This window comes from Homo sapiens, chromosome 2 (genome assembly GCF_000001405.40).
Source record: "Homo sapiens chromosome 2, GRCh38.p14 Primary Assembly".
In the NCBI taxonomy this organism is placed as follows: domain Eukaryota; kingdom Metazoa; phylum Chordata; class Mammalia; order Primates; family Hominidae; genus Homo; species Homo sapiens.
The window spans coordinates 155,864,864-155,888,218 of NC_000002.12; the positions used below are offsets into that span (position 1 = coordinate 155,864,864).

Genomic DNA, 23,355 nt, shown 5'->3' on the forward strand with positions numbered 1-23,355 from the left:
CTTCAGGTATAAATAACAGATTTCAAGGAGTTCAAATGAGATTCACTAACACCAGCTCTTGTAAGCTTTAATAATATGCAGGCCAGAATTATTTAATGACACCTAAAGCAGTATCATTAGAGTCCTGGAGACACTTGTGTCTTGAACCCAAAGTTGGATGAACAGAAATCTGTTATTAATTTCCTTACTTATTTAGAACATGTGAAAACTGATAGCTGAATAAAGTATTTAACAACTAAATTCCTTTTCAAAAAAAGACTCTTAATGTGAAATTACAAACAGGAAAGAAAGAAAAAATGTTCAAAAGGTTACAAAAATTGATGTATGTAAAAATGTCCATCTAAAAATGACACAACCTCAAAAAGTTGCTTTTTTTTTAACAAGTATGTTCCAAAAGAATATGGCCACATTTCAGAGAGACATTTCTTCTCCCAACACCATGACAAGTGTTGATATCACTAAAAGGATTCTGAAAATGAATTCAAAGCAACATCATTTTTTTTTAATGTTGGAGAAAGCAAAATGACTGGTATGGTATGTCTTGTAAAGACCTTAGTTTTTATAGACTCAACTCAGTTATCTTAATACTCAGAAAAGAGCTATTTGGATTGTTACATGGATCTTTCTCACAAACTTTTTTAAGCACTCAAATTCACACACAGATGCACTTAGACATATACACAAACTTTTATATTTTTTGAAGTGAGCAAGTGAATGTATTCACGATTTCACATGTCTTTTTTCCTCATGGTATATTTTGATCTCTTCTAAGTAATATGAAAACAATTATTTGTAGCTAATGCTCTTATAAAGAGAGTTAGTAGAATTTTCTACAAGTACTGTCTAAGCCCAGGGTGATTTCTCCAAATGGTCTCTAAATTCTCTGTAATTTAAGCACTGGCATTTCACTTCCCTTCTGCTAATCATGTCAAGCTACCTAATTCCTAACTGTAAAATCAAATGTCTTACTGACTTTCCTCTAGCTGAGTCTTCTGGACTATCCGCTCATATTAAGGATTCAATGACTATGCTTTAAATGAACCCGTTTCACTGGCAGGTGCCTGCTGGTTTCTAGGTTTTAAACGGTACCATTACTATCATTTATAAGGATAACATCACATTAAGAATGTATGAATAATTTAAAATTGAGTAGCATTCAGTTTCACAGTCTGTCTGGCACGAAGGCTTGAAAGTGCAAGGTCTTCATTTTATTACAAAACACTGGCTGTCTGGGTAAAAAGAGATGAAAAGTTACTAATTTCAGGCTTTACTTCAAACCCTTTAATCTTGCAAATAAGTGCTTTCGGTGAGGACTTTGTTATCTCCTAAAGCCTAGCCAGAATTGTTCATGCTCTTTGTCTTTTCCCAAGGTCTTTACCTTATCCTAGGTGAGCCAAATGAGACAAAAGGGAATCCACCGAAGGAAGTGATTATTTAATAGAGCTTTTCTTTCTAAACCCGAACTTGTGCTGTTGGCAAACATTATGAAACACGATCATTTCATTGCCATAAATAATGTTATATGATTAAAATTCCATTCTGTGGTTGGGAACAGTGTGATAAACTGTTTGCGAATTGGTAATTCTATTTATTAAAAACAGAGGCATTAATTTTGACACATTGAATTATAACACAGACAAACAGATCTTGTGTTTTAATTAAATGCTCTATTTGATGAGCTTTTTTACTCTACGATTTAATACCAGATCCTTCAATTCGTATGGTATAGAGCAGGGGACAATCTCAGCAGGGAATATAGAGAAAAGCTCTGCTGGGATTCAATAGGCACAGAGCAGAGCTCCTTGGACCGCTCCCTAAAGCATCCCTTCTTTGTGTCAGGCCCAGTACCATTAGCTGGTTTGTTAAAGCCTCTCCAAGCTCTTTTTTTCTTCCAAGTCTCCAGCAAGGCTTCCAGTCCGGTAATGCATTCCTTATTTTCTAATCATGAAGCGGGACTGAATATTTTTAAAATAAATAAATAACAACCAAACTGCTTTGAGCTTTCTTTCACATTAAGCTACATTTAATATTCATTTCACATTTTTTTCTATTAATTAAAAGTAAACCGTGTATTGTATGGTACATTATCCCTCTAACAGCCCCATGTGGAGATCATGAAGTGGAAGACTAATGGTGTAGACTTTAGCATTTAGTTTTAACCAGAATAATTTACATATCTGTGAGAAGAGTCCAAGGCATGTGTAAATAAGCAGAACTCTGAGATATCAAGACCCTTGTTCAGTTTACTATGGACTGCCGAGCTATAGGCTGTGTATTTATTCCATCAGTCAGGTAATTTAATGAGACTTACACAGCATCTATTCCTGTGGAAGAGACAAAAGTTATTATTAAGGAGAGGCATGTGGCAGTAAGAAAAATGTGTTTGCTTGTTTTATTTTATTCTATTACCCCAAGTAGCAAAGGTGATCCTATTCAATGTTCATTAAAGTTTACCTTTATAATTTATCAAAGGGGACCCACATCAACAGTTTTTTGCTGAGATTTCAAAATTGGAAACATTAAAATTTGATATAAAATGCCAGATACTTAGGGAGCCTTTTCATTAGAAAAATAACTCCATGGCTTTAATCTATGGATTTTTATTAATGTACAACTCTATGAAGTAAACAGAAGAAAGAACATTAAAGAAAAGTCATCAACCCTGAAAGGGCATATTAACTTCCAATTACCAGAATTTTGGACCAGTTTTAAGGGAGGAAAACTGTTGCTTAAAGAACTGGGAAATTTAAATAAATGATTACAAAAGCTTAATTTCCAGTGATTTCTCTGGAAAGAATTACACTGTTTCATGAATAGTGTTAAGCAGTCACTAGAAGACAGATTATTTTAAGAAAGAGCCCTGATTCTTTGATAAAATTTAAATTGAATGACGTCAGGCTTTAGTCGTCAAACTGATTTAAGTAACAAACTCTTAAAATATGCCTCGTATAAAATGGTTTTCTTTTTTTGAAAATCATTGTAAAGGCTACAAAATTCAATGAGGTCTTTGACTATATGATGCCAGCCATCCCTAAGAAAAGTGAAAAACACAATTGCCAAGGCTGTTTCCAAATATTCATAATTTTTGGCATCCATGTGGCCAAACAGAAATGAAGAACAGAAGTAAGTCACATCCTACTGATAATTCTTTTTTTACTGAGATATTCAGGTAATTGTAAAGGCTGCCTATATAATTCAAATTAGTTGGATATCTATCTTAAATCTTCATTCTGCTTTACCAAAGTGGAAATTAATATTAAAATATTTAGAGTTGATAGAACTGATGCTGTTCCTTTAAAAACCATCACAATCTTTTGTAACCCAAACCAACAGTACGAAAGCACAAATGTTCAGACATAGACACTGCATTTTTACATGGCCTCTTAAGTGTTCACACTCCTACAAAGGCTGTCAGACCTGCTAAATGGCATAGCCAAATTTCTCTTGAATCTTTTTATAATACAATGATGCATAAGTGTAAGTCAACGTAGCATTTGACTCTTCAAATACCACACCAAAAAATCCTTTAAATATGCAACTCAATGCATAGGATACATTTGAGCCAATTTCACAAAAATATCTGTAACTTTACATACCCTTTGCTTATTATAACCTACACATAATTCTTCCTGCACCAAAAACTCATGTTAAAATTCCCTACCTGCAGGGCAGGTCTACCTTATTCAAATCATAAATTTTACTCTGATTAAATGAAAATAAGTCTATAGGGTACATATTCTTGTAAATGCTAATAATAAATTTCTATTTTCATTATCAAATAATTATTTCAAAGTATATGGAAAATAATTTATTTCCAAAACATTTATTATATAATGAAAAATAAAACTGACAATGGAAGACAAGCTTAGAAAAATAAAGTTATTTATTTCTATGCATTTCTTGTTATACTATATTTTAATCTTTTGTTTTGTCATATTTCTTTCCTAAAGATTGTAAGTTCCTTAAGCCAGAGTCTATAGTTTAGCTATCTCTCTCTCCTCAGCACCATTTACAGTGCCTAATGCATGGAACATCCTTTTTAAAAAACATCTGTATTGAATATTGAATGAGTAGAACTTTTCCAGGAGTCTCAGGAAGAATTTCAAATAGTTTAGTTGCTAGCTGGATTTTAAGATTAAGAAGTAAAAGGTAAATTGCTTTGAATAAGAAAAGTTATACATAAATAATTGAACACATATTTTTAATAACAGAGATGGTCATTCGTTCTGAGAGATGATTAATTTCTCCCTCAAATATTGGTAGGCATGATAGATATGCCACATATTTTTTAAGTTTAACAAAAGAAGAATCAATTCCTATTTTATTTCCACTTAGGTTTTATAAAGTATTTCAGTAGCTCACATTTAGACTGTCCATTTTATGTTTTTAAGACATAATTTGGCATTTAAAAATATTATACTTTCTTTGCTCTTCCAGTAAAGTGTGATGATATAGTCATATGTGTCAATTAAAAGATTGCTTGCTACATCATTTGCTGGCAGGGATTCAATGGAGTTACCCAGAAAAGTGAATCTTGAAGCATTTACCATTCTTTTATTGTGTGTCTTTTCTATATTTCTGTCATTATATTTCTTTGGACATAAATTAAAGCAGAGTTATTTTCTATTAAATTGCTCAGCTAACCATTAGTGATTCTGGATTTTCAGTGTCTTTTCTCAGAATACACATGCACACGACCATATCCTTCTTTTACTGGCTTTGATTTTAAAATTCTGGCATGGGTCTGGGGTGTCTCTATATAGCATTTACTGAAATAATTCTGAATTTCCCTCATGCTTAGGAACCACTGTAGGCTTCCATTGACATCAAGCTTCCAATGTCATATATGATATGAACTTCCATTTTTGTTTTAATAGTATATGATAGACTAATATTATATGACTAGCCCACTAAAATGCATGTACAAAGACTACATTAATTTTCTGATAATTTCAATGCCAAACTGTTATAATAAAGCGACATATTTTAAGTACTGAATATTTGAAAATTCTTCAATAGAGATGCTAGGGTTTTTAATGATCTTTCACTTTACTTTCTGCTTCTTGGTATTGCAAAACATATATAAATATATATTTAAAATATATTTAATTCCTCTTTAAATCACAAGTTTAAAAATGGTTCCAAACATTTAAATGGACTGATGATAACATTATTGAAGCATAAAAAGAAAAAAAAATCTCTTTTGCGTAACATGAATTTTATGATGGAATCATATGATTATATAGATACTGCTAGCTTGAGACAATAGGAACTGGAATGCTGTGGCCTGGAATCTTGTTCTTTATGTATTAATAACAGACTTCTGAGCACACATATTCACTTTCAGATTTTTAAGCAATTAGTTTGCAGATGTCACTAAATAAATGGCATTCATTCCTTAAGCAGGAACCATACCTGTTAACCATCTCAGCCTATTCTAGCTTTAAAGCTGGGCTTGATGTGCACAGCATGCTCAAAAACTGTACTCACAGTTCAAATGAGCTGGATTACAGACCATGACCACTGAGACCCTCACATGACAAAGCCTTTGTGTAATTAATATGCAGGGTAAAATGCTCCCTGGACTGCTGCTAAAGCGATTTAAATCATGCACATAAAAAATGTAATCACAAATTTAGCATGGTGGACAGAGTAGTCACACTGGGCTTGATTGCATAGAAGGTTCCAAGTGTGTTTTAAATGTCCTTTAAGATTGAGATTAAGACTTGTACTTACAAGATGCATATTAATCTAAAACTCAACATTTTTCAGTGTGGGATCACAGTAGGAGAACATTATGGGCAATAGAGGTTCATTCTAATCCCAGTAGGTAATTACACTTTGAAATAATATTCTTTAATTAAATCTTGTTTGCAGTTGATTGATTTAAACACTAAATCTAAAACCCTAAATTTGAGTTTTTATCAATTTTTGATGCTTATTGCACACAACTTGGGCTTTAATTGATGTTTCTGAAGTTTTAAAGCCCTTGTCCCCCATATCCTGGTTTAGAATTTAGTATAATTATCAACATCATTCTTTAATACTCTTGATGGCTTCTTCTGGAAACTCGGTAAGTTTGAGCACTTTCACAATTTTAATATATACCTGAAAGGTTTTTAATATATCACAATTCCAGTATTTACATACATGATTCTTCTATCACACCTTTAATAGACACATAATCTAATCCCTTCTCTGAAATACTGACAGAGGGTTCTATTTCCAAAATATTTATCACTTGCAAGATTACAGTATAAAACTTGGGCTATAACTAATAATAGACAAGGTATAAAGAAAAAAAAGGTTTCAAATTCCAGAGTTATTTGCATCTTTTCAAATTTAAAGTAATATCATTAAGTGACAAAAAAGTTACTACTTTCAGGTATTCACAAAGGAAGGTTGTCCAGCTACACACACACACACCACACACACACACCCATGTGTGTGCATGAGTGTGTGTATGTATAATCTTTTATGTTTATATCTTCTTTCTTACCACTTGGCAAAGCTCACCAAAACTCAATTAAAAGACTTATTGTGGCCATTTTAAGATTAATTTCTTTTATATTCAATAATCCATATGATGCCAAGTCTGTATTATAATTGCTAAAAGCAATATGTTTCACTGTCACCATTGTGAAAGAAGATTATTCTGGCAGGTAACATTAATATCTAACTGAACTTTAGCCTTCTAGATTTTGGAACTCTTACAATTTCTCATTCTTCCAACATAAGTGCTTTTTCTAAAAGAATGTTGTAAAAAAATTTCATGTCTTATGACCCACAGAATGGAACTTTGACATATGTCCTAATTTGGCGCATGATATTATCTGTCAGGAAGTGATCAAAGATCTTCATAATTTGTTGCAAATTTGCAAACTACAATGAACCCTTCTTAATAGGCATCCATATAACCAACTGTTTTTATGGTTTACAGATTTATATCCAGAAACACAAAATTAGGTATGGAGGCCTAAGCATTGTGATTTAAAGATTCTGTTCACCAATGTTTATATTTAAATTTATACAATAAGGACTGGCCTGGTTTTAGCTTCAGCAGTGCCATATAGCAGTATCTTGCAGATGTAGCTCAGTAAATTACATTCATGATGCCATATTTAATAACTGAAAATTCACATTTTACTACAATTGCATTTGTCACTGCTGAAAAACAAACTAGTACGTGGAATGTTTTATTACAATGACTACATTCTTGTGAGAAATGATTAAGTCACTATAAGAGAAAAGTAAGGCCAAAAAACCTCATTCACCATAACGCAAATATTAATCACACATAAATAATACAGGTGTCTTACAGTAAGCCACATTCCCCTAAAATATAGATTATACATCCTAGGGGCAAATAGTAGCACAACAGACTCGAAATAAATCCCTCAAGCCATGGTGGCCAAAACGAAATCATTTATGTTTGACAGTTTAATACACTTTTTGTTTATGCATAACAGATGAAAATATTTACACCAATATAAGAGAGTGAAAGAAAAATTAAATCTGACTAATCGACCTGTTCAAAGTATGATTTTTAATTTCAAGGATTTTTTTATAACTACTGGAAATAATAAATACGCTTTCTACAATTCAACCGTATCCATTCATTTTTAATTATTTTGCAGCGCTAAAAAACAAGCCAGTCTCTCAACTCAGAGACAACTTTCTCTGGTATGTACACATGCCCCAACTGAAGGAAAAGAGGGCTGACTGCCAACCTAGAACACTGCAGGCTGAGATGAATGAACTAGGTGATCCCTAAGAGTGCTGTACAGGAAATAGAGCTGGGAATGCTTCTGGGAAGAGGGTCAGAAGGTTGGGCATGGGGGAGATCTATTTGCCACAGATAGATCTCTTTTTGTACTGATTAGCCTTTTGAACATATGTATATGTTACTTTTGCAATAACAAATCTTTAAAAGGTACAAATCAACAAAATACAAGCTGATAATTATTAGAAATAGATTTCATTTCTGTTTTCCTGCAAGTATTTATTAGGCATTTGTCTCACTTGCAGCACTGGGTTTGGGAATAAAGAAAGGGTAGGAAATTAGGAAACAGGCAGCTCTTTGACCTTTAAGTGTTTAAAATTCATTGAGAAATTTATCTGATAAAATGAGTATCAAGAAAGAACATGTACAAACATGACATTATACGGTTTACACTAAAGCATTTCAGGGAAAAAAATTAACATATTTAGAACACTCAAGTAGGTGGGGATATAAGCAGGCAGTGAGGATGAGTAGTTAGCCTTTGATAGGAACACAGATACCCCAGAAAGTAAGAAGCCTCCAAGTTAAATGCTCGAATTCTGATATTGCTAAATGCATGAAGAAATTATTTATAAAGAAATGAAAAGCAACTGGAGGAACTTCAAGATGGCTCACTAGATGCATCTGGCACATGCCTCTTCCATGGAGAGGAACCAAATTGTGAGTAGATAATCACATGAATTAACAGATCATCTAAGTGAGAACACTAAAATTCAACCGAGAAGTGATGGGAGGCACTGAAAGCAAGGAAGGAGAGGAAATCGAGGCAGCCTGTTCATCAAGGATGAATTAGAGTCTAGAGAGACTTTCTAATGCAGGGAAAGGGTAACTGAGGGAATCCCAGTTGTCCACGTTCCCACCTGGATGCCTACAATCTAAGCCAAGGAGAGTCCCTCAATCTTCATGGGCCACAAGACAAACATAGGTAGCTGTCTGGAAACCACACAAAGGCATTGCTCCAGAGAGAGAGTTCTTTCTAAATCCCATAACTCCTAAGCTGCAGCATGGTGCCAATTTGAGCGGCTAGTCTCCACCAGAATGCGTCCTACCCTGTAGGCAGCTGCACATTTTCATGTACACTGAAGACAAATTGCAAAGCCCACAATTGCCACTGCTGCAAGCAGCTGTAGGACCAATGCGAAAGCAAAGCATACACCCTCCAGGTACCTGCCTATGGTTCACTGAACCTGCTACTACCATCACAACTGACAACCACCAACATGTACCACCTGTAAGTCTCGAGACCAGCCTGCCCAACCCATCACAGCCACTGTCAACAATGGTATGGACAACTTGGATCCCAGAATGTTGTCCCACTACTTCTAATGCCGTAGGCCATGCCACGCTTCCTGCCCAGGGGCTTGAGAACCCACCCATTGGCCAAACCAATCATTGCCATTCCCAGCCCCAAGCAAGCCACCTGGAGGCCCTAAAATTGATCTGCCTAGACTCACTAACATTAGAGCCAACATACATTGCCCTGGAGCCCAAGACAGGCATGCACAGCCTACAGCTGCAACCTCACTAGGGTCTGAATACTGGCCCAGCTGGCATATCAGTTCCCAGCAAAACTTCACCACTATCTCTACTAACAACTGTACCCTAAGCCACAGAAGCAATCACAGATCCAACTGACAGTTTTTATAGCCAAATAAATCATACAGAGACTGCACTACAGAATGCACCCAGAATCAAAGACAAAGGGTCCTAACCAACCAACACCACAGATTTATCTCAGGAAAACGTCCTCCCTTAGTACAGCATATTCCAAAAATGGAAAGAAAGAACTATTACACCAGATACACAGATATTAATGTAAGAACACAGGAAACATTTTTAAAAATGTGAAACCTCCAAAAGAACACAATATTGTTTAAGAACAAATCCCAATCAAAAACACATTTATGAAATCCCTGAAAAAGAATCCAAAATATTGATACTAAAGAAATTCAGAGAGATACAAGAGAATTCTGAAAAATAATAAAGAAATAACTGAAACAATTCAGGATAGAAATGAGAAAGTGACTAAAGAGACAGATCTCATGAAAAAAAACCAAACAGAAATTCTGGAAGTGAAGAATTCCTTGAAAGAAATACAAAACATATTTGAAAGCTACAACAATAGACTAGCTCAAACAGGAAGAAAAAAAATCTCAGAATTTGAATACAGGTCTTTTGAAATAACCCAGCCAGACAAAATAAAGGAAATTGAATTTTAAAAGAATGAGTGAAGTCTTTGTGACATATGGAATGCCATAAAGCAATCAAATTTCTAAATTTTCAGTGTCCTAGAAGGCAAAGAGAAAATGAAAAGGTTAGAAAGCCTATTAATGAGGGGGCGGTTCCAAGATGGCTGAATAGGAACAGCTCCAGTCTACAGCTCCCAGAATGAGCAATGCAGAAGATGGGTGATTTCTGCATTTCCAACTGAGGTACTGGGTTCATCTCATTGGGGCTTGTCAGACTTTGGTTGCAGCCCAACGAGCATGAGCCGAAGCAGGGAGAGGCATTGCCTCACCTGGGAAGTGCAAGGGATCAGGGAACTCCCTTTCCTAGCCAAGGGAAGCTGTGACAGACGGCACCTGGAAAATCGGGTCACTCCTACCCTAATACTGCACTTTTCCAATGGTCTTAGCAAACGGCACACCCCATATATCCCATGCCTGGCTGGGGGCATCCCACGCCCATGGAGCCTCACTCATTGCTAGCCCAGCAGTCTGAGATCAAACTGCAAGGTGGCAGCAAGGCTAGGAAGGGGCACCCACCATTGCTGAGGCTTAAGTAAGTAAACAAAGAGGCCTGGAAGCTCAAACTGGGTGGAGCCCACTGCAGCTCAAGGAGGCCTGCCTGCCTCTGTAGACTTCACCTCTGAGCGCAGGGCATAGCCAAACATAGGCAGCAGAAACCTCTGCAGACTTAAATGTCCCTGTCTGAAAGCTTTGAAGAGAGTAGTAGTTCTCCCAGCACAGAGTTTGAGATCTGAGAACGGATAGACTGCCTCCTCAAGTGGGTCCCTGAACCCCGAGTAGTCTAACTGGGAGATACCCCCCAATAGGAGCAGACTGACACCTCACACAGCCGGGTACCCCTCTGAGACGAAGCTTCCAGGGAATGATCAGGCAGCAACATTTGCTGTTCAACAATATTCGCTGTTCTGCAGCCTCCGCTGCTGATACCCAGACAAACAGGGTCTGGAGTGGACCTCCAGCAAACTCCAACAGACCTGCAGCTGAGGGTCCTGACTGTTGGAAGGAAAACTAACAAACAGAAAGGACATCCACACCAAAACCCCATATGTACGTCACCATCATCAAAGACCAAAGGTAGATAAAACCACAAAGATGGAGAAAAAACAGAGCAGAAAAGCTGAAAATTCTAAAAACCAGAGTGCCTCTCCTCCTCCAAAGGAATGCAGCTCCTTGCCAGCAATGGAACAAGCTGAATGGAGAATGACTTTGACGAGTTAGGAGAAAAAGGCTTCAGACAATCAAACTTCTCTGAGCTAAGGGAGGAAGTTCGAACCAATCGCAAAGAAGCTAAAAACCTTGAAAAAAGATTAGACAAATGGCTAACCAGAATAACCAGTGTAGAGGAGTCCTTAAATGATCTGATGGAGCTGAAAACCATGGCATGAGAACTACGTGATGAATGCACAAGCTTCAGTAGCCAATTCGATCAACTGGAAGAAAGGGTATCAGTGATTGAAGATCAAATGAATGAAGTGAAGCGAGAAGAGAAGTTTAGAGAAAAAAAAGTAAAAAGAAACAAACAAAGCCTCCAAGAAATATGGGACTATGTGAAAAGACCAAATCTACATCTGATTGGTGTACCTGAAAGTGATGGAGAGAATGAAACAAAGTTGGAAAACACTCTGCAGGATATTATCCAGGAGAACTTCACCAACCTAGCAAGACAGGCCAACATTCAAATTCAGGAAATATAGTGAATGCCACAAAGATACTCCTCAAGAAGAGCAACTCCAAGATAGATTCACTAAAGTTGAAATGAAGGAAAAAATGTTAAGGGTAGCCAGAGAGAAAGGTGGGTTACCCACAAAGGGAAGCCCATCAGACTAACAGCGGATCTCTCAGCAGAAACTCCACCAGCCAGAAGAGAGTGGGGGCCAATATTCAACACTCTTAAAGAAAAGAATTTTCAACCCAGAATTTCATATCCAGCCAAACTAAGCTTCATAAGTGAAGCAGAAATAAAATCCTTTGCAGAGAAGCATCCCCATCATCTCAGCCCAAAATCTCCTTAAGCTGATAAGCAACTTCAGCAAAGTCTCAGGATACAAAATCAATGTACAAAAATCACAAGCATTCTTATACACCAAGAACAGACAAACAGAGAACCAAATCATGAGTGAACTCCCATTCACAATTGCTTCAAAGAGAATAAAATACCTAGGAATCCAACTTACAAGGGGTGTGAAGGACCTATTCAAGGAGAACAACAAACCACTGCTCAATGAAATAAAAGAGGACACAAACAAATGGAAGGACATTCCATGCTCATGGATAGGAAGAATCAATATCATGGAAATGGTCATACTGCCCAAGGTAATTTATAGATTCAATGCCATCCCCATCAAGCTACCAATGACTTTCTTCAAAGAATTGGAAAAAACTAATTTAAAGTTCATATGGAACCAAAAAAGAGCCCTCATTGCCAAGTCAATCCTAAGCCAAAAGAACAAAGCTGGAGGCATCATGCTACCTGACTTCAAACTATACTACAAGGTTACAGTAACCAAAACAGCATGGTACTGGTACCAAAACAGAGATATAGACCAATGGAACAGAACAGAGCCCTCAGAAATAATAACACACATCTACAACCATCTGATCTTTGACAAACCTGACAAAAACAAGCAATGGGGAAAGGATTCCCTATTTAATAAATGGTGCTGGGAAAACTGGCTATCCATATGTAGAAAGCTGAAACTGGATCCCTTCCTTACACCTTATACAAAAATTAATTCAAGATGGATTAAAGACTTAAATGTTAGACCTAAAACCATAAAAACCCTAGAAGAAAATCTAGGCAATACCATTCAAGACATAGGCATGGGCAAGGACTTCATGTCTAAAACACCAAAAGCAATGGCAACAAAAGCCAAAATTGACAAATGGGATCTAATTAAACTAAAGAGCTTCTGCACAGCAAAAGAAACTACCATCAGAGTGAACAGGCAACCTACAGAATGGGAGAAAATTTTTGCAATCTACTCATCTGACAAAGAGCTAATATCCAAAATCTACAAAGAACTCAAACAAATTTACAAGTGAAAACCAACGCCATCAAAAAGTGGGCAAAGAATATGAATAGACACTTCTCAAAAGAAGACATTTATGCAGCCAAAAGACACATGAAAAAATGCTCATCATCACTGGCCATCAGAGAAATGCAAATCAAAACCACAATGAGATACCATCTCACAGCAGTTAGAATGGTAATCATTATAAAGTCAGGAAACAACAGGTGCTGGAGAGGATGTGGAGAAATAGGAACACTTTTACACTGTTGGTGGGGCTGTAAACTAGTTCAACCATTGTGGAAGACAGTGTGGTGATTCCTCAAGGATCTAGAACAAGAAATACCATTTGACCCAGCCATCCCATTACTGGGTATATACCCAAAGGATTATAAATCATGCTGCTATAAAGACACATGCACACGTATGTTTATAGCAGCACTATTCACAGTAGCAAAGACTTGGAACCAACCCAAATGTCCATCAATGATAGACTGGATTAAGAAAATGTCACACATATACACCATGGAATACTATGCAGCCATAAAAAAGGATGAGTTCATGTCCCTTGTAGGGACATGGATGAAGCTGGAAACCATCATTCTCAGCAAACTATTGCAAGGACAAAAAACAAAACAGCACATGTTCTCACTCACAGGTGGGAATCGAACAATGAGAACACTTGGACACTGGAAGGGGATCATCATACACCGGGGCCTGTCATGGGGTGAGGGGAGGGTGGAGGGAGAGCGTTAGGAGATATACCTAATGTAAATGACGCATTAATGGGTGCAGCACACTAACATGGCACATGTATACATATGTAACAAACCTGCATGTTGTGCACATGTACCATAGAACTTAAAGTATAATTTAAAAAAAAAGAAATCCTATTAATGAAACAGTAGATAAATATTTCCCCCTTGAGAAAGATTTAGACATCCAGATACAAGAGGCTCAAAGATTCATGAATAAATAAAATTCACAAAAGTCTTCTCAACAGCACATTATAGTTAAACTGTTAGAAGTCTAAGACAAAGGGTGAATTCTAACAACAGCAACAGGAAAAGGATCTAGTCACTTACAAAGAAATAACAGTGGATTTCTCAGCAGAAATCTTCAGGTCAAGGGAGAATGGGATGATATATTCAAAGTACAAATAGAAAAAAAAAACTGTAAGCCAAGGAGACTATACACAGCAAAATTATTCTTCAGTTATGAAGAGGAATGAAGTCTTTCCCAGACAAGCAAAAGCTGAGGAAATTCATCACTGCTAGACTGATACTTCAAGAAATGCTTAAGGGAGTCCTATACTCAGAAGCAAAACAACAATGACTACCATCATGAAAACACAAAAGTTAAAAAGCATATAACAGAACAAACACAAAAAAGGAAGAGAAAAAACTCAAATGTTACCATTACAGAATACCACAAAACTGCAAAAGTAAAAAATAAGAAAGAAACAAACAAATGATATGCAGAACAATCAGAAATCAATTAATAAAATGACAAGAATAACCCGTCAATATATCAATAATAACCTTGAATGTAAACAAATTAATCTTTCCATTTAAAATACATAAACTAGCTGAATGGAATTTTTTAAAAAGCATGATTCAAGTATATCCTTCCTACAAGAAATTCTTCTTACCTCTAGACACATATAAACTGAAAATAAAATGACGGGAAAAGATATTTCATGCAAACAGAAAACAAAAGTGAGGAGGAATGGCTATACCTATATCCAATGAAACATACAAAAACACAAAATTTCTTAACAAAACTAGCAAACCAAATTAAACAGCACAACAAAAAAAAAAATGCACCATGATCAAGTGAGATTTATCCCAGAAATGCAAAAATGTTTCAACATCTGAAAATCAATAAACATTGTATATCTCATCAACAGTATGAAGGACAAAAACAGTATGATCATCTCAATGGATGCAGAAAAAGCATTTGACAAAATTCAACATCCCTTCATGATCAAAGCTCTCAACTGGGGGTGGCTGGCAAGATGGCCAAATAGAAACAGCTCTAGTCTGCAGCTCCCAGCTAGATCAACACAGAAGGCGAGTGATTTCTGCATTTCTACTGAGGTACTCAGCTTATCTCACTGGGACTGGTTAGACAGTGGGTGCAGCCCACGGAGAGTGAGTCAAAGAAGGGTGGGGCATCACCTCACCCAGGAAGTGCAAGGGGTTGGGGAACTCCCTCCCCTAGCCAAGGGAAGCCGTGAATGACTGTGCCATGAGGAATGGTGCATTCCAGCCCAGATACTACGCTTTTCCCATGGCCTTTGCAACCCGTAGACCAGAAGATTCCCTTGGTTGCCTACACCACCAGGGTCCTGGGTTTCAACCACAAAACTGGGCAGCCATTTGGGCAGACACCAAGCTAGCTACAGGAGTTTTTTTTCATACCCCAGTGGCACCTGGAACACCAGTGAGACAGAACCATTCACTCCCCTGGAAAGAGGGCTGAAGCCAGGGAGCCAGGTGGTCTAGCTCAGTGAATCCAACCCACACAGAGCCCAGCAAGCTAAGATCCACTGGCTTGAAATTCTCGCTGCCAGCACAGAAGTCTGAAGTCAACCTGGGATGCTAGAGCTTAGTGGTGGGAGGGGCGTCTGCCATTACTGAGGCTTGAGTAGGCAGTTTTCCCCTCACAGTGTAAACAAAGCCGCTGGGAAGTTCAAACTGGGTGGAGCCCACCGCAGCTTGGCAAAGCCACTGTAGCCAGACTGCCTCTTTAGATTCCTCCTCTCTGGACAGGAGATCTCTGAAAGAAAGGCAGCAACCCCAGTCGGGGGCTTATAGATAAAACTCCCATCTCTCTGGGACAGAGCACCTGGGGGAAAGGGAGTCTGTGGGCACCACTTCAGCAGACTTAAACGTTCCCTGCCTGCCAGCTCTGAAGAGAGCAGCAGATCAAGAGAGCACTCAAGCTCTGCTAAGGGACAGACTGCCTCCTCAAGTGGGTCCCTGACCCCCGTGTCTCCTGACGGGGACACACCTCTTGGCAGGAGTCGACAGACACCTCATACAGGAGAGCTCCAGCTGGCATCTGGCGGGTGCCCCTCTGGGACAAAGCTTCCAGAAAAAGAAACAGATAGCAATCTTTGCTGTTCTGCAGCCTCCACTGGTGATACCCAGGCAAACTGGTCTGGAGTGGATCTCCAGAAAACTCCAGCAGACCTGCAGTAGAGAGGGCTGACTGTTACAAGGAAAACTAACAAACAGAAAGAAATAGCATCAACATGAACCAAAAGGACATCCACACAGAAACCCCATTCTGAAGGTCACCAATTTCAAACACCAAAGGTAGATAAATCCATGAAGATGAGGAAAAGCCAGTGCAAAAAGGCTGAAAATTCAAACAACTAGAATGTCTTCTCCTCCAAAGGGTCACAACTCCTCGCCAGCAAAGGAAAAAAACTGGAAGGAGAATGAGTTTGATGAATTGACAGAAGTAGTCTTCAGAATATGGGTAATAATAAACTCCTGTGAGCTAAATGAGCATGTTCTAACCCAATACAAGATAGCTAAGATCCTTGAAAAAGGTTAGAGGAATTGCTATCTAGAATAACCAGCTTAGAGAAGGACATAAATGACCTAATGGACCTTAATAACACAGCAGGAGAACTTCGTGAAGCATACACAAGTATCAATAGCCAAATTGATTAAGCAGAAGAAAGGATATCAGAGATTGAAGATCAACTTAGTGAAATAAAGTGTGAAGACAAGATCAGAGAAAAATGAATGAAAAGGAGCAAACAAAGCCTCCAAGAAATATGGGACTATGTGAAAAGACCTAACCTACATTTGACTGGTGTACCTGAAAGTGATGAGGAGAATGGAACCAAGTTGGAAAACACGCTGCAGGATATTATCCAGGAGAACTTCCCCAACCTAGAAAGATGGGCCAAAATTCAAATTCAGGAAATACAGAGAACACTACAAAGATACTCCTCGAGAAGAGCAACCCCAAGACACATAATCATCAGATTCACCAAGGTTGAAATGAAGGAAAAAATGTTAAGGGCAACAAGAGAGAAAGGTCAGGTTACCCAAAAGGGAAGCCAATCAGACTAACAGTGGAGCTCTCTGCAGAAACCCTACAAGCCAGAAGAGAGTGGGGGCCAATATTCAACATTCTTAGAGAAAAGAATTTTAAACCCAGAATTTCATATCCAGCCAAACTAAGCTTCATAAGTGAAGGAGAATTAAAATAATTTACAGACAAGCAAATGCTGAGGGATTGTGTCACCACCAGGCCTGCCTTACAAGAGCTCCTGAAGGAAGCACTAAATATGGAAAGGAATAACTGGTACCAGTCACTGCACAAACATACCAAATTCTAAAGACCATTGAAACTATGAAGAAACTGCATCAATTAATGGGCAAAATAACCAGCTAGCATCATAAAGACAGGATCAAATTCACACATAACAATATTAACCTTAAATGTCAATGGGCTAAATGCCCCAATTAAACACACAGACTGGCAAATTGAATAAAGAGTTGAGACCCATTGGTGTGCTGTATTCAGGAGACCCATCTCACACACAAAGACACATATTGCCTCAAAATAAACGGATGGAGGAATATTTTCCAAGCAAATGGAAAGGAAAAAAAGCAGGGCCTGCAATCCTAGTCTCTGATAAAACAGGCTTTAAACCAGCAAAGATCAAAAAAGACAAAGAAGGGCATTACATAATGGTAAAGTGATCAATGCAACAAGAAGAGCTAACTATCCTTAATATATAGGCACCCAATACAGGAGCACCTGGATTCATAAAGCAAGCTCTTGGAGACCTACAAAGAGACTTAGGCTCCCACACAATAATAGTGGGAGACTTTAACACCCCACTGTCAATATTAGACAGATGAACGAGACAGAAAATTAACAAGGATATTCAGGACTTGAATTCAGCTGTGGACCAAGCAGACCTAATAAACATCTACAGAACTCTCCACCGCAAATCAGCAGAATATACATTCTTCTCAGCACCACATCATACTTATTCTAAAATCAACCACATAATTGGAAGTAAAGCATTCCTCAGCAAATGCAAAAGAATGGAAACCATAACAAACAGTCTCCCAGACCACAGTGCAATCAAATTAGAACTCAGGATTAAGAAACTCACTCAAAACCACACAACTACATGGAAACTGAACAACCTGCTTCTGAATGACTACTGGGTCAATAACGAAATTAATGCAGAAATAAATGAGTTCTTTGAAACCAATGAGAACAAAGACACAATGTACCAGAATCTCTGGGACACAGCTAAAGCAGTGTTTAGAGGAAAATTTATAGCACTAAATGTCCACAGGAGACAGCAGGAAAGATCTAAAATCAAAACCCTAACATCACAATTAAAAGAATGAGAGAAGCAAGAGCAAACAAATTCAAAAGCTATCAGAAGACAAGAAATAACTAAGATCAGAGCAGAACTGAAGATGATAGAGACAAAAAACCCTTCAAAAAAATCAATGAATCCAGGAGCTGGTGTTTTGAAAAGATCAACAAAATAAATAAACCACTAGCCAGACTAATAAAGAAGAAAAGAGAGAAAAATCAAATAGATACAATAGAAAATGATAAAGGGGATATCATCACTGATCCCACAGAAATACAAACTACCATCAGAGAATACTATAAACATCTCTACATAAATAAACTAGAAAATCTAGAAGAAATGGATAAATTCCTGGACACATACACCCTGCCAAGATTAAACCAGGAAGAAGTTGAATCCCTGAATAGACCAATAACAAGTTCTGAAACTGAGGCAGTAATTAATAGCCTTAACCAAAAAAAGCCCAGGGCCAGATGGCTTCACAGCCAAATTCTACCAGAGGTACAAAGAGGAGCTGGTACCATTCCTTCTGAAATTATTCCAGTCAGTAGAAAAAGAGGCACTCCTCCCTAACTCCGTTTATAAGACCAGCATTATCCTGATACAAAAACCTGGCAGAGATACAACAAAAAAAAAAAGAAAATTTCAGGCCAATATTCTTGATGAACGTTGACGTGAAAATACTCCAGAAAATACTGGCAAATCGAATCCAGCAGCACAGCAAAAAGCTTATCCACCACAATCAAGACAGCTTCATCCCTGGAATGCAAGGCTGGTTCAACATACACAAATCAAAAAAAGTAATCTATTATATAAACAGAACCAATAATAAAAACCACATGATTATCTCAATAGATGCAGAAAAGGCCTTTGATAAAATTCAACACCCCTTCATGCTAAAAACTCTCAATAAACTGTGTATTGACGGAACGTATCTCAAAGTAATAAGAGCGATTTATGACAAACCCACAGCCAATATTATACTGAATGGGCAAAACCTGGAAGCATTCCCTTTGAAAACTGGCACAAGACAGATATGCCCTCTCTCACCACTCCTATTCAACATAGTATTGGAATTTCTGGCCAGGGCAATCAGGCAAGAGAAAGAAATAAAGGGTATTCAAATAGGAAGAGAGAAAGGCAAATTGCCTCTGTTTGCAGATGACATGATTGTATATTTAGAAAACCCCATCGTCTCAGCCCCAAATCTCCTTAAGTTGATAAGCAACTTCAGCAAAGTCTCAGGATACAAAATCAATGTGCAAAAATCACAAGCATTCTTATACATCAATAACAGACAAACAAAGAGCCAAATCATGAGTGAACTCCCATTCACAATTGCTACAAAGAGAATAAAATACCTAGGAATACAACTTACAGGGGATGTGAAGGACCTCTTCAAGGGGAACTACAAACCACTGCTCAAAGAAATAAGAGATGACACAAATGAAAAACATTTCATGCTCATGGATAGGAAGAATCAATATTGTGAAATGGCCATACTGCCCAAAGTAATTTATAGATTAAGTGCTATTTCCATCAAGCTACCATTGACTTTCTTCACAGAATTAGAAAAAAACTACTTTAAATTTTATATGAAACCAAAAAGAGCTTGTATAGCCAAGACAATCCTAAGCCAAAATAACAAAGCTGGAGGCATCACAATACCTGACTTCAAACTATACTACAAGACTACAGTAACCAAAACAGCATGGTACTGTCCAAAACAGAGATATAGACCAATGGAACAGAACAGAGGCCTCAGAAATAATGCCACACATCTGCCAACATCCGATCTTTGATAAACCTGGCAAAAACTAGCAATGGGGAAAGGATTCCCTATTTAACAAATGGTGTTGGGAAAACTGGCTAGCCATATGCAGAAAACTGAAACTGGATCCCTTCCTTACTCCTTATACAAAAATTAACTCGAGATGGATTGAAGACTTAAACATAAGACCTAAAACCATAAAAACCTTAGAAGAAAACCTAGGCAATACCATTCAGGACATATACATGGGCAAAGACTTCATGACTAAAACACCAAAAGCAACAGCAACAAAAGCCAAAATTGACAAATGGCATGCAATTAAACTAAAGAGCTTCTGCACAGCAAAGGAAACTATCATCAGAGTGAACAGGCAACCTACAGAATGGGAGAAAAGTTTTGCAATCTGTCCATCTGACAAAGGGCTAATATCCAGAATCTACAAGGAACTTAAACAAATTTACAAGAAAAAAATCATACAACCCCATCACAAAGTGGGCAAAGGATATGAACAGGCACTTCTCAAAAGAAGACATTTGGGCTGGGCACGGTGGCTCATGCCTGTAATCCCCGTACTTTGGGAGGCCAAGGGGGGTGGATCGCGAAGTCAGGAGTCCAAGACAAGCCTGGCCAAGATAGCAAAACCCCATCTCTACTATAAATCAGAAAAAAAAAAAATTAGCTGGGCATGGTGGCAAGCACCTGTAATCCCAGCTATTCAAGAGGCTGAGGCAGAAAATCACTTGAACCCAGGGAGCAGAGGTTGCAGTGAGCCGAGATCGAGCCACTGCACTCCAGCCTGGGCAACAAAGTGAGACTCTGTCTCAAAAAAAAAAAAAAAAGAAGACATTGATGTGACCAAAAAACATATGAAAAAAGGCTCATCATCACTGGTCATTAGAGAAATGCAAATGAAAACCACAATGATACCATCTCATGCCAGTTAGAATGGCACTCATTAAAAAGTCAGGAAACAACAGATGCTGGAGAAATAGGAATGCTTTTACACTGTTGGTGGGAGTGTAAATTATTTCATCCATTGTGGAAGACAATGTGGCTATTCCTCAAGGATCTAGAACCAGAAATACCATTTGACCCAGCAATCCCATTACTGGGTATATACCCAAAGTATTATAAATCATTCTACTATAAAGACACATGCACACATATGTTTTATTGCAGCACTATTCACAATAACAAAGACTTGGAACCAACCCAAATGATCATGGATGATAGACTGGAAAAAGAAAATATGGCACATATACACCATGGAATACTATGCAGCCATAAAAAGGATGAGTTATGTCCTTTGCAGGGACATGGATGAAGCTGGAAAACATCATTCTCAGCAAACTAACACAGGAATAGAAAACCAACCACCACATGTTCTCACACCTAAGTGGGAGTTGAACAATGAGAACACATGGGCACGGGGAGGGGAACATCACACACTGTGACCTGTCATGGGGTTGGGGGATAGGGGAGGGATAGCATTAGAAGAAATACCTAATGCAGATGACAGATTGATGGGTGCAGCAAACCACCATTGCACATGTATACCTAGGTAACAAACCTGCACGTTCTGCACTTGTATCACAGAACTTAAAGTATTAAAAAAAAAAAAATAAAAATAAAGCTCTCAACAAACTAGGCCTAGAAAGAACATACCTCAACTTAATAAAGGTCATTTGTGGCAAACCCACAGCTAACATCATACTTAATGGGGGACAGCTGAAAACCTTACCCCTAAGAACTACGACAAGACAAAGATATCACTTTCACCACTACAATACAACATAGTACTGGAAGTCCTAGCCAAAGAAATGGGGCAAGAGAAAGTAATAAAGGGCATCCACATTGGAAAATAAGTCAAATTGTCTCTCTTTGTTGATGCTATGATTTTATATCTGGAAAAAACTAAAGTCATCAGCAATAACAAAAAAAAAAACCTCTTAGATCTGATAAATACATCTAGTAAAGTTGCAACATAGAAATCAACATACAAAAATGAGTAATGTTCCTATACACCGATAATGAAGTACCTGAGAAAGAAATCAATAAGGCAATCACATTTACAATTGCTACAAAAATTAAAATATGTAGGAATAACGTAAACCAAGGAGGTGAAACATCTCTACAAGAAAAACAACAAAATATTGATGAAAGAAATGGAATATAACACAAACAAAAAGACACTCTATGTTCATGACTGGAAGACTTTATATTATTAAAGTGACCATACTGCCCAAAACAATCAACAAATTCAATATAAATCTTAGCAAAATACCAATGTCATTTTTCACAGACATTTTTAAATCCTAAAATTTGCATGGAACCAAAAGAGAGCCTGAATAGCAAAAATAATTCTGAGAAAGAGGAACAAAGCTACAGGTGTCACATTACCTGACTTCAAAAGTACATTAAAAGGCTATAGTAACCCAAACAGCATGGTTTTGTTATTAAGAAAAATAAAAGAAACATAGATCAATGTAACAGAATAGAGAATCCAAAAATCAATTCATGCATATACACTGAGGAAAGGCATACTCTTCAATAAATGGTACTAGGGAAGCTTGATATCCACATGCAGAAGAATGAAACTAGGACTCTATTTCTCACTATATGTAAAAGTGAAGTCAAGATGGATAAAAGACTTACGTGTTCAACCTGAAACTATGAAATTAATACAAGAAAACATAGGGAAAACATTTGAGGACATTAACCTAGGAAAAGACTTTATAGCTAAGACCTCATAAAGCACAGACAACTAAAACAAAAATAGACAAATGGGACTACAGTACTCTAAAAACTTCTGCAAAGCAAAGGAACAGAGTAAAGAGACAACCTGTTGAATGGGAGAAAATATTTGCCCACTATTCATCTAGTAAGGAATTAATATCTGGAATATATAAGAAATTTAAACAGTAGCCTAAAGCCAAATGATCACATTCAAAAGTGGGCAAGGACAAGAATATTTCTCAAAAGAATTTTTCAAAAGAAGGCATAAAATGGCCAGCAGGCATATGAGATAATGCTCAATATCATTAATCATCGGGCAAGCCCAAATCAAAACAACAATTAGATATCATCTTATCTCAGTTAGAATGGCTATTATTAAAAAGACAAAAAATGAAAATCTTGGCAAGGATGTGGAGAAAAGGCAACTCTTATACATTGTG

The 23,355-nt window shown here is 37.4% G+C and overlaps 1 long non-coding RNA gene across 5 annotated transcripts in view, besides 1 other annotated feature; it reads right to left on the minus strand.

Moving 5' to 3' along the window:
* Window positions 1-23,355, minus strand: part of LOC105373703 (uncharacterized) — a 158,249-nt gene that overhangs the window by 108,799 nt on the left and 26,095 nt on the right. Inside the window, exon 5 of one of the 5 annotated variants that reach the window (XR_923501.3) lies at window positions 1,708-2,324. The exons of the other annotated variants lie outside the window; for them this stretch is intronic. This is a non-coding gene — a long non-coding RNA (uncharacterized LOC105373703). Of the gene's footprint in view, window positions 1-1,707; window positions 2,325-23,355 lie in introns of those variants that run through there. 5 annotated transcript variants of the gene reach the window in all.
* Window positions 5,206-6,230: an enhancer, noted in NCBI's record as "VISTA enhancer hs411". NCBI's record gives its function as "enhancer in: forebrain[7/9]" and the evidence as "EXISTENCE:transgenic organism evidence [ECO:0001131][PMID:17130149]".